Source organism: Homo sapiens, chromosome 6 (assembly GCF_000001405.40).
Source record: "Homo sapiens chromosome 6, GRCh38.p14 Primary Assembly".
Classification (NCBI taxonomy): domain Eukaryota; kingdom Metazoa; phylum Chordata; class Mammalia; order Primates; family Hominidae; genus Homo; species Homo sapiens.
The window spans coordinates 92,083,138-92,096,996 of NC_000006.12; positions in this window are offsets into that span (position 1 = coordinate 92,083,138).

The following is a 13,859-nucleotide window of genomic DNA, read 5'->3' on the forward strand; positions in this document are numbered from 1 at the left end:
AACCATCTGATCTTTGACAAATCTGACAAAAACAAGAAATGGGGAAAGGATCCCCTATTTAACAAATAGTGCTGGGAAAACTGGCTAGCCATATGTAGAAAGCTGAAACTGGATTCCTTCCTTACACCTTATACAAAAATTAATTCAAGATGGATTAAAGACTTAAATGTTAGACCTAAAACCATAAACACCCTAAAGAAAACCTAGGCAATACCATTCAGGACATAGGCATGGGCAAAAACTTCATGACTAAAACATCAAAAGCAATGGCAACAAAAGCCAAAATAGATAAATGGGATCTCTTTACACTAAAGAGCTTCTGCACAGCAAAAGAAACTAGCATCAGAGTGAACAGGCAACCTACAGAATGGGAGAAAATATTTGCAATCTATCCATCTGACAAAGGGCTAGTATTCAGAATCTACAAAGAACTTACACAAATTTACAAGAAAAAAAACAAACAACTGCATCAAAAAGTGGGCAAAGGATATGAACAGACACTTCTTAAAAGCAAACATTTATGCAGCCAACAGACATATGAAAAAATGCTCATTATCACTGGTCATCAGAAATGCAAATCAAAACCACAATGAGATACCATCTCACACCAGTTAGAATGGCGATCATTACAAAGTCCAGAAACAACAGATGCTGGAGAGGATGTGGAGAAATAGGAACGGTTTTACACTGTTGGTGGGAGTTTAAACTAATTCAACCATTGTGGAAGACTGTGTGGCGCTTCCTCAAGGATCTAGAACTAGAAATACCATTTGACCCAGTGATCCCATCACTGGCTATATACCCAAACGATTATAAATCATGCTACTATAAAGACACATGCATACGTATGTTAATTGTGGCGGTATTCACAATAGCAGAAACTTGGAACCAACCCAAATGTCCATCAATGTTAGACTGGGTTAAGAAGATGTGGCACATATACACCATGGAATACTATGCAGCCATGAAAAAGGATGAGTTCATGTCCTTTGCAGGGACATAGATGCAGCTGGAAACCATCATTCTGAGTGAACTATCAGAAGGACAGAAAACCAAACACTGCATGTTCTCACTCATAGGTGGGAATTGAACAATGCAAACACTTGGACACAGGGCAGTGAATATCACACCCCGGGGCCTGTCGTGGGGTTGGGGTCAGAGGGAGGGATAGCATCAGGAGAAAAACCTAATGTAAATGATGAGTTAATGGGTGCAGCAAACCAACATGGCACATGTATACCTATGTAACAAACATACACATGGTGCATATGTACCCTTGAACCTAAAGTATATAAAAAAAAAAAGACTAAGAGTAAGTAAGCATGTTAAGTGCCCATATTTAGACCTAGTGGAATTTCTGAGTTAGTTTCATATTCCTATTGTTTGTATTATTTATTGATCATACTATTAATAATCATGATTATTTAAATCAATTTAATTATTTTAACAGTTTGAAAATGGTAAAGTTTATGTAGAAGGTACCTAGTAGAAACCAGTCTCATGAAAAATTATATGTGTGTATACAAACACACACACTTATACACACATTCTTACATATTGTTCACCTCATATGAGGCCCCACAATGCACACATTTGACAAATCATATTATCCACTAGGTCTCTTTTCCTCTGTGGTGCTTCAAAGTCATTCAATGAAGGGAATATCTAAAAGAAACATGGCTTAAATGAAAGGACTTTTTCAAATATTTTCAAAATTAAATTGCTATTCAGCCCTATGGGAAGATGTGTTTGGAAGCAAGCCATTTGTTCCATTTACATATAGAACCATTTCTTAATTTTCTAAATTCTTGCAAGATTTTATCAAATGTAAGACAGCAAAAATATAATTTTTCATAGTGCACAGAACATGGTGAATTTGCAAAAAGAAAAGTAAATAAGAATAAGAAAGCTTTTTGTTTTTATAAATGCCTATTCACACTTTCGGCAAGCAAATAATATAAATAAAAATAATTCACATTCACGCCATGGAAGCTTGGCTTGCTTGTGTAAATTTCTCAAAAAACTGAGAAAACACAAATGTTGCTTCTATGTCTCAGAAGAATAACACCAATTCTTTATTGAGAATAGACATACTACTAAAATATTCTTTTTATGGTTTTAGAACTTTTTAATCGTTGAAAACTACTTTTCTGTATTTTAACTCATTTGTCTTCATAAGACTGTGCAGCAGTATGGCATTTGGTGAATGAAACAGGCAAAAGGTTGTTGGACAAAATCACAAATAGAATAATGAACATGAGCAATTTTACCTCATACTTAACTTCAAGCAAATATAGAATACATTTATACAGAATCAGGTTAGAAAACTTTGATATTATATATCTGAGCAGAACAAGCACCATCAGGTAGAAAATGTGATTTCTCCTCTCATAACATGTTTTATAGATATAAATTTTATGAAAACCAAGTCTTATGGTCATCTCTAGGAGATAAGAAAGTGCTTTTGAGAAAGACATAATTTTATATCCAGCATAAGAAATTGTAGATATTGGTAAAGTAAATAATTACATATGTCAACAATTTAGGGACACACTGTTTTTCATGGATTACTGGGAATAAGCATCTAACTGGGAAGTATTTTCCACTTCAAAAAAGACTCAAAACATTTGTTAGAAACCAGTATGCCTCTGATATGCTTTGGCTGTGTCCCCACCCAAATCTCATCTTGAATTGTAGCTCCCATAATTCCCACAGGTTGTGCAGGGACCTGGTGGGAGATAATTGAATTGTGGTAGCAGGTATTTCCCATGCTATTCTCATGATAGTGAATAAGTCTCATGAGATCAGATAGTTTGGGAGAGACAGATTTATTGTGAGATCTTCCTTTACCATAAATCTCTACTATGGGAAAATGATTGTAAATGTTGTAAAATACGTTGAATTTAAAAAGAGAGTTTCCCTGCACAAGTCCTCTTCTCTTATTTGCTGCCATGTGAGATGTGCCTTTCACCTTCCACCATGATTGTGAGTCCTCCCAAGCCAGATGGTACTGTGAGTACATTAAACCTCTTTCTTTTGTAAATTGCCCAGTCTCGAGTATATCTTTATCAGCAGTGTGAAAACAGACTAATACAGCCTCCCACGTTTCCATGTAGGATGTTCTAAATGACTTAACAGCTCAGGGAAAAAGATATGGGAAGAGGTTTCCAGGCACTGTGAGGAACATATGGAAAGATCTTGCAGTGAGAATTTATGTAGTCAACAAAGAGCTTTTCAGGTAAAGCCATGGATTGAGCACCAAAGATTTTTAAGTTAGAGGAGTTAGGGTCAATGAACACAGCATGTGAATCCTAAATATATTCCTCTTATTGCTCTATGGAGAAGATTTTGGTAGGAATGAGTAGATACACCTGACCCTTGTATGTTCATATATGTAATCTCAGGTCAAGATCACTTCCTCAGGGAACCATCATATTTTTTTGTTGAATACTGTCCTTAATCTGTTATTTGTTTCTCCAGAATATTTTAATATTATATTGACTATTATATTTACCTTATTAATTCTGCCTTTTCTCAGATCTTCAAGTTGAATCAATGGGAGACAATTGCACACTTAGTTGTTAGCAATGCCACTAAGTTTTTTGAATGAATTCCAATTTGTTGAATGAATTTTGAAGAAAAGATAGATTCAATATATTTTCTCAAGAATGCAGTGGAAAAAAAAGTGAAACTCATTGCCTGAGTCTGCAATTCTCTACATCTTTTGTGGGACTGACACTGTTAGATTAAAATATCTAACTAATTTGGTTGGAAGGAAGGGAACTGCTTAAGGAGCTGTTTTGTTAGCAATAAAAATGGATGATTTAGTGCAGTCTACAGTGGCCTGTATATTAGAAGTAAATTTCTTTTCTTCCCCTGAAATGCATTAATCAAGACATAAATTATTTTAGTGTGACTTGAAAGCTTAAGAAGGCAGCGCATACAAGTTTACGTATCTGACTTACATATACACAATAATCAGCATGATCATAAAATCAAGAAAATTGAGAAAAAAAGGAAGAAAGTAAAAAAAAAAAAAAGCCATGAGGAAAAGACAGATAAATAGGCCCATAAAGCCTAGGAACAATCAGACTTAAATAGATGGGATCACAGAACAATTGACAAAGGTAAAGAGAAGAACAGACGGCAGAGAAGAGAAAGTGGTCAAGAAGTTAAGAAGGAATAGAAATATTCATCATCTCTAGGTCCACAACCCTCTATGATGCTATCAGTATTTCAGACGGTCATCTCATTGGCAGCCAACTGATACTCTAAGTAGCTGAAAAAAATCACTCGTTCAAGTTATTAAATGCCCTTTAAACTAAACCTATAGATCTTTTTCTGAATGAAATGTTCATAGCCAGGTAGGAGGAAAGGACAGTTGGATTGCCATTGTTTCATCATTTAGTCCTTTCTAGAAGCAAATACTACCTGTAAAAACATTTAAGAATTTTATTAATATGTAACATTCTTTTCTGCATCTATTTGGTACAGAACTGGTAAAAGACTAGAAGATTATTCAAAATAAGCAGCAAAAAATCATGTCTAATGACAATGGAAATTGAATAATTTGTCTTTTGGAACCCATTTTGAAAATCAGATGAACACAGAGACTGAAATGTCAATGCTTTTATATATAACAAGCATGAGGTTATATTTTAGTCCCAAGAATCTTCATTAATATAAATTGGTATATTAGATTTTTAAATTGGGATGCAAGATATAGAATCTGAGTCTGTAAATTAAAATGTTCTTGGAATTAATTACAATGTTATATTTGCTGATAGATAGATTTTAAAAAAGATTAAAAACAAAAAAGTCACAGGCCTTTATATAATTGAACTCTTCATTGAAAACCTATTGAAGTCAAATTATTCTAATGAGATGAGATGAAAATTTTAATGATGCTAACTTTCCTAGTTTTAGTTATTTCTGGAGACTGTCCTTAAATTTGCTTTATAAATATATCAATATAAAGTAAACTTGAATTAGAAAAAAACCCAAAGTTCATTTTAAATAATAATAATTATTAAAATAATAAAAATGAAAAAACATTCAGTAATCATATTCACATAATGATGAGAAACTGTATTTGAAGAGGAATAAAACAATACCTAGAATGTCTTTATCATCATAACATACATTGTTGTTATTGTTTTCAATTGTGTGAATAAGATATTTTTTACTGAAGCAGATACTGCAAGTTTATTGAGTCAAAATGTCTCTGCATACTTCAATTTTACATTCTCTGCTTGTTTTTTTTCTTAACATGCTTTAAATTTCTATTTGTTTATTTGTTTTAGTCTCGGTTGCAGATGATGGTGAAAGTAATCATTCATTTTAATCAAATGCCCTTTTTTCCTGATGTCTCTTTTTTGTATTATTAATCTGACCAACTGCATCTCTGTTTTATACTTCCGTCTAGAACTCCCTTCATACTCAGATTACTGCTACCCTTCATCTTCATCCTGCCTCCATTCTAGTGCGTTGCCTAAGTATACATTCTTGCAAAATTTTTATTGGAATTTTCCTACATGAATTTCTAATTTATGTAAATTGTATCATATTATATATCTTTTCCTGATTCTTACCTTTTTTTGCTTAGCACAATGTCTTTATCACTCTATCATATTGCCATATGTATATAAAATCACCCTAGATTATGAACACCTAGATTACCCAAACTTCATCCATCGCAACAAAATCACTGATAAAATTCGTTTATGTGCTTTCTTATAGAATTGTGTGATGATTTCTCTGGGAGTTATTTGCAGGAGTGAAATTTATGAGTCATAAGGTATGTATATACTGTTTGATTAAGTACTGCCAGATTGCTTTCCAAAATGGCATCATTAATTTACAGACCCTCTTACAATGCATGAGTGCACCCATATCTCCTCATTCTAGCAACATTTGATATTATGTAGTGTTCTAACTTTTGTCAATTTGATAGATTTACAGTAACATCTCATTTTACTTGCAGTTTCCTGATTAGTAATGAGTTTAAATTTCTCTTTGTATGTTTGTTTAATATCTGGGATTTATTTTCTTTTAATTGCTCTTAAAAATGCTATTTTTCTGATGGGTGCATATCTTGTATTATTTTGGAGATAGAGCCTTACTCGTTTGCCCTGGCTGCAGTTCAGTGGCACAATCATAGCTCTCCACAGCCTTGAACTCCTTGGGTTCAAGAGATCTCCAGCCTCAGCCTCCCAGCTAGCTGGGATGACAGGCTTTTACCACCATGGCCAGCTAATTTTATTTTTAGAGACAAGGTCTCACTATGTTGTCCAAGCTACATGTCTTCTTCTTGGTTCTTTGATGGTAGATGTATTTGGCAGATGTTAATTGGCTGTCAATTTTAGGCATTGTAAATAGATTTATATAGGACATTGTCATCTGATCACTTTGGCTCTGGTATAATTCACTGAACGGAAATCCCTAATTTTGATGTTGTTGATTATATAAATTTAATGCCTTATAATTTGTTATGAGAGTTTGTTAAAAATAATTCCTTAATTTTCTATTAAGTTTATAGTTTTACCTTTTCCATTTAGATGTCCAACTCACCATATGGTTTTGGGAACAAAACTGCTTTTACTTCTCTTTATATAGTGAGTCAATCCATCACAGTGTCAGTTACAACTTTATAAATTTAGAGACTAAAGTTTTCAATATATGGGTTTTGTGATAGTTACTTTGACTTACTTAATCATACCGGTATAGAACACTTATCTTTGTCTCATCTAATTTTTTCTTGAGTACTTTCTTTCAGACATTAAATTTATACCGCAGCTTTCTTTCCCCTGGTATATGTTTTTCCATCTACTTATTTTCACTTTCTTTGTCTTTTTTAAGAAAGGAGTGTGTCTCCTATAGGCAACATATTATTGAATTTTAGCTTTGAGTTGTTGCTGTTGTTATTGAGTCCAGCAGGATTCTCCTTTTGTCTTTGATATATGTTATTCTGTTTTTTCATTTATGTTGGATGTACTGTGTGTGTAATTAATTGTCCAGTGCTTTCATTTTCCCTGGGTTAACGGCTATCTTGTGTAGTGATGGGCACTGGGGACTGGCAAAATTTTCTTCCCTGTTACTTGTCAGGAGTTTAAGAGGAGGAGGAATCAGCCCTAGAGCATAAAAGTCAGGCTCCAAAATTTTATACAAGCCCATTTGCTGGCACCAATCAAATAGTATGTTCAGGATTTTCCTGTAATATTTTGAGAAAGAAACACTAAAGCAAGACGTAATCCACCAGCCCTGGAGGTTTGGATGGGGAGACATGAATAAACCACCACTCTCATTTGTTTCTCAACCCAGTTTGGCTTTCATACGGTCCTGAAATTATTGCAACCACTTCCTGCCCACTGTGGTCTCAATTGTTGCTGTTGATTTATATGGGTAAGGAAGAGGAAACAACTTTTCCCAGGTGATGTTGTGAAGAGGAGAAAGTGGAATTTATAACCTCTCCTCAACCTATTCTGCCACTTCCTTCTGGCCACCCTTGCCCCAGACTGCCACCCATCATCTTAGTCCAAGACAGCTTTTGATCTTGGCAGTTTCTCAAGGTTCTATATGATTTATCCCAGTATGTTTTCTTCTTCTGTAGTTTCCCCAGGGTTGATTTTTGGAGATGTAGCCAGCAACACATGCAAGTTTGCCATGCTGATTGATCTGCATGACATCATATCTAAAGTATTCTAGTATGCTTATTACCTCCTTTCCTAACTGTACAGTCTTCCTCCTTTTGACCCACTGGCATACAATGATCTTTGGTCCTCTGAATAGTTAAGGATGCCCCATCGGGCCGATATATCTAATATGCTTCCCTCTTTTCCAATTTACCCTTATCTCTACTTGTTTGCTCCTCTTACCACATGACCTGACTCCATCCACCTCCACTCACTGTCTTAATAGAGTGCATGCTGGAACTGCCCAACAAATACCACATGCAATGGTTGTCCAATGGAGGATGGCAAAAGGGACAAGTAGGTGGAAAATGTTTCCTTCCTTTCACACAGATTCTACTTTCCTCACCCATATGAGGATAACAAATTATCTGGTATTGTCTAAATACTCTCTTACATATTGGCCTGCATGAATACTAGTGACATCATAATTTAAAACATAGTAATCTCAAATCTTTAACTTAAAAGAATGGTTAATTATTAAAGAAGTAATAAAAGACACAAAATAAATCCAACTTACATCATTAGCTACATGTGCTTTTCTATGAATAAAGTATAAATTTTTATTGGAAGGAATTATTAAATTGTTAAGAAAATCAAAATCTTAGTAATATATACAATAAAATATTAATGATTTAATTATTTTTCATCCTTTTGAACAGTTCCGACTGAAGTAAACTACTAAAACACAGAAAACGCCGCTTTTGGATTTAGTTGTACATTTAGTCAGTAATTTAAAAAATGTTGGAATGCATTTGTGCTAATCCTATCAGATATGGAAGGAATATTTTATTTTATATTGTGGAAGCTTATAGAAACTATGACATCAACTGAAAAGTGCGACTCCATGAAACTTTTAAAAAGACAAGTCTAATTTTTATTTTATGTTTTAAACATTTTTAAGAAAATTGTGATTTAGCAATACAGTATCTTAAATTGAGAGAAACATAAAATAAATAGCATTCATATATTGAAGCCCTAACCCTCTGTACCTCAGAATGTGACTATTTGAAGATAGGACCTTTAAGAGATGACAACGCAGATGGGAGCGGTGGCTCACACCTGTAATCTCAGCACTTTGGGAGGCCCAGGTGGGAGGATCACGAGGGCAAGAGATCGAGACCATCCTGGCCAACATGGTGAAATCCCGTCTCTACTAAAAATACAAAAATTAGCTCACCATTGTGGCAGGCGCCTGTAGTCCCAGCTACTCCAGAGGCTGAGGCAGGAGAATGAAGCCGGAAGCGGAGGTTGCAGTGAGCCGAGATTGTGTCACTGCCCTCCAGCCTGGTGACAGAGTGAGACTCTGTCTTAAAAAAAAAAAAAAAGAGGTGACTAGGCTAAAATAAGGCCATTGGTTGGGGGTCAGCCTTAAACCAATCTGAACGATAGTCTCATAAGAAGAGGACATTGGACACATAAGGAGACACGAGGTGTAAGCGCACAGAGGAAAGGGCAAGTGCAGATCCAGCAAGATGGCGGTCATCTGCAAGCCAAGCAGAAAAGCCTCAGGAGAAATCATACCTGATGATCGATCCCTAGATCCTGGACTTCTAGCCTCTAGTACTGTGAGAAAATAAATTTCTGTTGTTTAAGCCATGCAATCTCTGGTGCTTTACACAGTGACCTGAGCAGACCAACACACCTTACTGAGACTTTTAGTTTGTATTTAATTCTTGTTCATATAAAGACTCAAATACTACTGATTATGGCTATGTCCATGTGTTTTTGTGTTTGTGTATTTGTGGTGTATTCGCCTCTGTGTATTGCAAATGTTTGTGTTTTTGTTCCCATACCCCGTTATACCATAAATCTAAATTTAACACATATGTATTGCTTAATTCATGCCAAGCACCAAATTAATTATTTCAACACATATTAAGAATTCACAAAATATGATAATATCTTAATCATTTTTGACCCAGTTGAGAAATCCAAGCTAGTCTCTGGGGTACCCTAAACTAAGCTAACCTTGCCAAGACCTGAAAGCGCAAGTTTCCCAGTTTGAATGAATAACTGAAACTATCCCACCGTAATTGAACTATGACTTGGTGACTTCATCAACACACACTAATTTTAAAGTCACAAATGAAAATGTTTCCTAGAAATAAAATTTTCCAAAAAGATAACAGTCAATAAAATGCAAAGCTATAATTTTTTCCTCCCTCAATAAATTAGAATAAAACACCCAGTGAATGTTTATGGTAGAGTAATGTATTATTTATCTTAGCACCTTGAGTAGAATTTGAAAGTATATAACATGCTATTTACATATGGGAATTGTTTGACTGTGCTTTTATTATTTTTTTTCTCTCTCTCATAACAACTAATTTATAAGGCATTTTAGGAACAAGTTTCCAAAGAGAGAACTGCACGTAGTTCAGTCTAAAATTATTTATCATTTCTGGTACTTAAAGGAAGAGAAATTTCCTAGTTAGTGTTAGAGGGAAGATGCTATCCTAACATAATTACATTGTTAGATATCAGGATCCTGTCAGGAAGGAAATGATAAATGGCAGAATGCCTGGAAACACACAGCCTACAAGATTCAGAAGTTCATGCTGTAATGAAGAGAATAAAACTTTCAACTGGAACTTCAAAGACAAAAACTTCTTACTCATTGATCTGTCCTAGTACAATATTAAGAAGTGCCTGATTACTTGGTGTCCTTTTTTTAGAGTAAGCTGAATGCCTCTCTTGAGGAGAGTTCAAGGTTTTTACTAAAATAGTTAGAAACTAAGTAGGAAGGGGACTTCCAGTTAATACACTTTTCCATGAGCTCATAAAAGGCACTTCTGTCAAGCCATATAGACAACCCTGCCTTTAGTAATCTTAGAGGTTCTTTCCAGGCAAAATGTAAAGATTAATTTTTATCCTCTAAAGTAGTGATCTTTAGCTACTTCATCAGGGTGAAAAATAAGAACACGTTGAAGGATATCTAGTCTTTCTTCTTTCTTAATCTAAGATTTATAATCTTGGAGTTGGATCTAGTCATTTTCATGAAAATTCATTTTTTTGCATAACTAGAAAAGGCCATAAAGACTGCCTCATAACTAGTTTATTTATTAAATGGAGGCAAAAGTACTTTTCTCAGGAATTATTAAAACTCCAGGCAATATATTTTGACTTTAAAAATAGGCTTTTCAAATAGTGATAATCCCTATTATACAATGAAGATCATAGTCATATTGTTTTTCACATAGTTAATATAAATATGTAAATACATTAATTGTTTTTCTTTTTATGAAGACATTAAGTTCAACAATTAAAACTTCTGTCTGTACAGGGGAGCAGAAACATCAGATTAAGATTGCAACTATGGGCCGGGCTTAGTGGCTCACGCCTGTAATCCCGGCACTTTGGGAGGCCAAGGCGGGTGGATCAACTGAGGTGAGGATTTTGAGGCCAGCCTGACCAACATGGCGAAACCCCGTCTCTACTGAAAAAACATACAAAAATTAGCCAGGCGTGGTGATGTGCACCTGTAATCTCAGCTACTCGGGAGGCTGAGACAGGAGAATCGCTCAAACCCAGGAGGTGGAGGTCGCAGTGAGCTGAGATCATGCCACTGCACTACAGCCTGGGTGACAGAGTGAGACTCTGTTAATAAATAAATAAATAAATAAAGATTGCAACTATGATAATAAATTTTGCATAAATATTTTTATTTCTTCTGTAAATAGTTCTGTTTTTTCCTGTATGATTAGGTGGTGTTCTTTTTAGACCTTGATATAGATATACTACAAGGTGATTTTTCCAAACTCACATTTTTATTGGTCTTCTCTATTCCATTTTGATGTGATTATGAATGTAAATGTTGAGGACTGTAAATAAAACAATACTTAATAGTATATAATTTAATAATACCTTTGATGGCTCTTTTTTTGAAAAGGTCATTGGGTTGAATCCACAAATTGTTTACTAAGTCTTGAGAACATGTTTATGAGGATTTTTTATTTATATTAAAATATTTTAAAAGTTTATTTTATTTTCTCTGAAATAACTGTAACAAATGTACTTTGAAGAATTTTGTGGAAAAGAGGAATATATTATATTATCTCCAAAAAACTTAGTAATAACATTTTAGTACATTGTCTTCCAATTATTCTCAGGACAAATGCTTTAAAATAGTTGTGCTAAAATTATTCAATTTTTCAGATGAAATTTGAGTCAATGGTGTAAATATTTTTCATTTATTTCAAATCTTCATAAGAACAAATTTCAATAATTTCAAAATATTCTATTATGAGGTTAAAATATAATATACTTAAATCTCAAGTTGTTTTCAAATTTTTCATCATGCTTAACATTACTATAACAATTATTTTTATTTAAAATATGTAATAATTATGACGATTTAAATACATTTATAGAAATGAGATAATGATATCCTAGATAAGAGAAAATGTGTATTTTTGAACCTGCTAATGCTTAATACTTAATGGTCTGATTTTTTCCAGAAACGTTACACAAATTCACAATACTATAAAAATGTACAGTCATGCACTGCATAGTGGCATTTCAATTAACAACCCATCATATATACAATGATGATTCCATAAGATTATAGTTAGCTGAAAAATTCCTTTGGCCTAGTGACATCATAGGCATTGTAAAGGCATAGTGCACACAAACACATTACTTATTACTTATGTGTTTGTGATGATGCCAGTGTAAACCAACCACTTTGACTTTTCCTCTTTATTTTATACTGCTTTTATTCTACTTATTAAAATAAAAAGTTAACTCTAAAACCTCCACAGACAGGTCCTTCATGGGGTATTCCAGAAGAAGGCATTGTTATCAAAGGAGATGACAGTTCTATGCATGTCATTGCCCCTGAAGACCTTCCAGAGGGACAAGATGTAGAGGTGGAAGACAGCAATATGGATGATCCTGACCCTGTGTAGGCCTAGGCTAATGTGTGTGTTTGTGTCTTGGTTTTAACAAAAAAGTTTTCAAAGAAAAAGAAAATTTAAAATTAATTAAAAATAGAAATAATGATGTAAAGAAAGGAATTTTGTATAGCTGTATAATGTGTTTTGTGTTTTAAGCTAAGTGCTACTACAAAGGAGCCAAATTGTTTTTTAAAATATTAAAAGTTTATAAAGTAAAAAAGTTACATTAAGCTAAGGTTAATTTATTATTGAAGATAAAATGTTTTAAAATTAAATTTAGTGTAGCATAAGTGTGCAGTGTTTATGCAGTCGACAGTAGTGAACAGTACCTTCCTAGGCCTTTACATTCACTCATTGCTCACTCACTGACTGATATGATTTGGCTGTGTCCCTACCCAAGTCTCATCTTAAATTGTAATTCCCATAATCCCCACATGTTGTGGGAGGGTCACAGTGGGAGGTTATTTAATCATGGAGGTGATTACCCTCCTGCTGTTCTCATGATAGTGAGTTCTCACGAGACTTTATGGTTTTATAGGGGGCTTTTCCTCCCTTTGCTCAGCATTTCTCCTTGCTGCCCCCATGTGAAGAAGGATGTGTTTACCTCCCCTTCTGCCATGATTGTAAGTTTCCTGAGGCCTCCCCATGTATGGTGAATTGTGAGTCAATTAAACCTCTTACTTTTATAAATTACACTTATTAGCAGCCTGATATCAGATTAATTGACTTATGCAAAGTATCTTCCAGTCCTGCAGGCTCCATTTATGGTAAGTACCCTATATGGATGTACCATTTTTAGTCTTTTATATTGTATTTTCTATGGTACATTTTATATATTTAGAAATATAGTTCAGATATGTTAAAATACACAAACACTGTTGGTGGGAGTGTAAATTAGTTCAACCTTTGTGGAAGGCAGTGTGGCAATTCCTCAAGGATCTAAAACTAGAAATACCATTTGACCCAGCAATTCCATTACCCAGTAATATACTGGGTATATACCCCAAGCATTATAAATCATTCTACTATAAAATCACATGCACACGTATGTTTATTGCAGCACTATTCACAATAGCAAAGACTTGGAACCAACCCAAATGCCCATCAATGATAGACTGCATAAATACATTGTGGCACATATACACCATGGAATACTATGCAGCCATAAAAAAGGATGAGTTCATGCCCTTTGCAGGGACATGGATGAGCTGGAAAACATCATTCTCAGCAAACTAACCCAAGAACAGGAAAACAAACACCGCATGTTCTCACT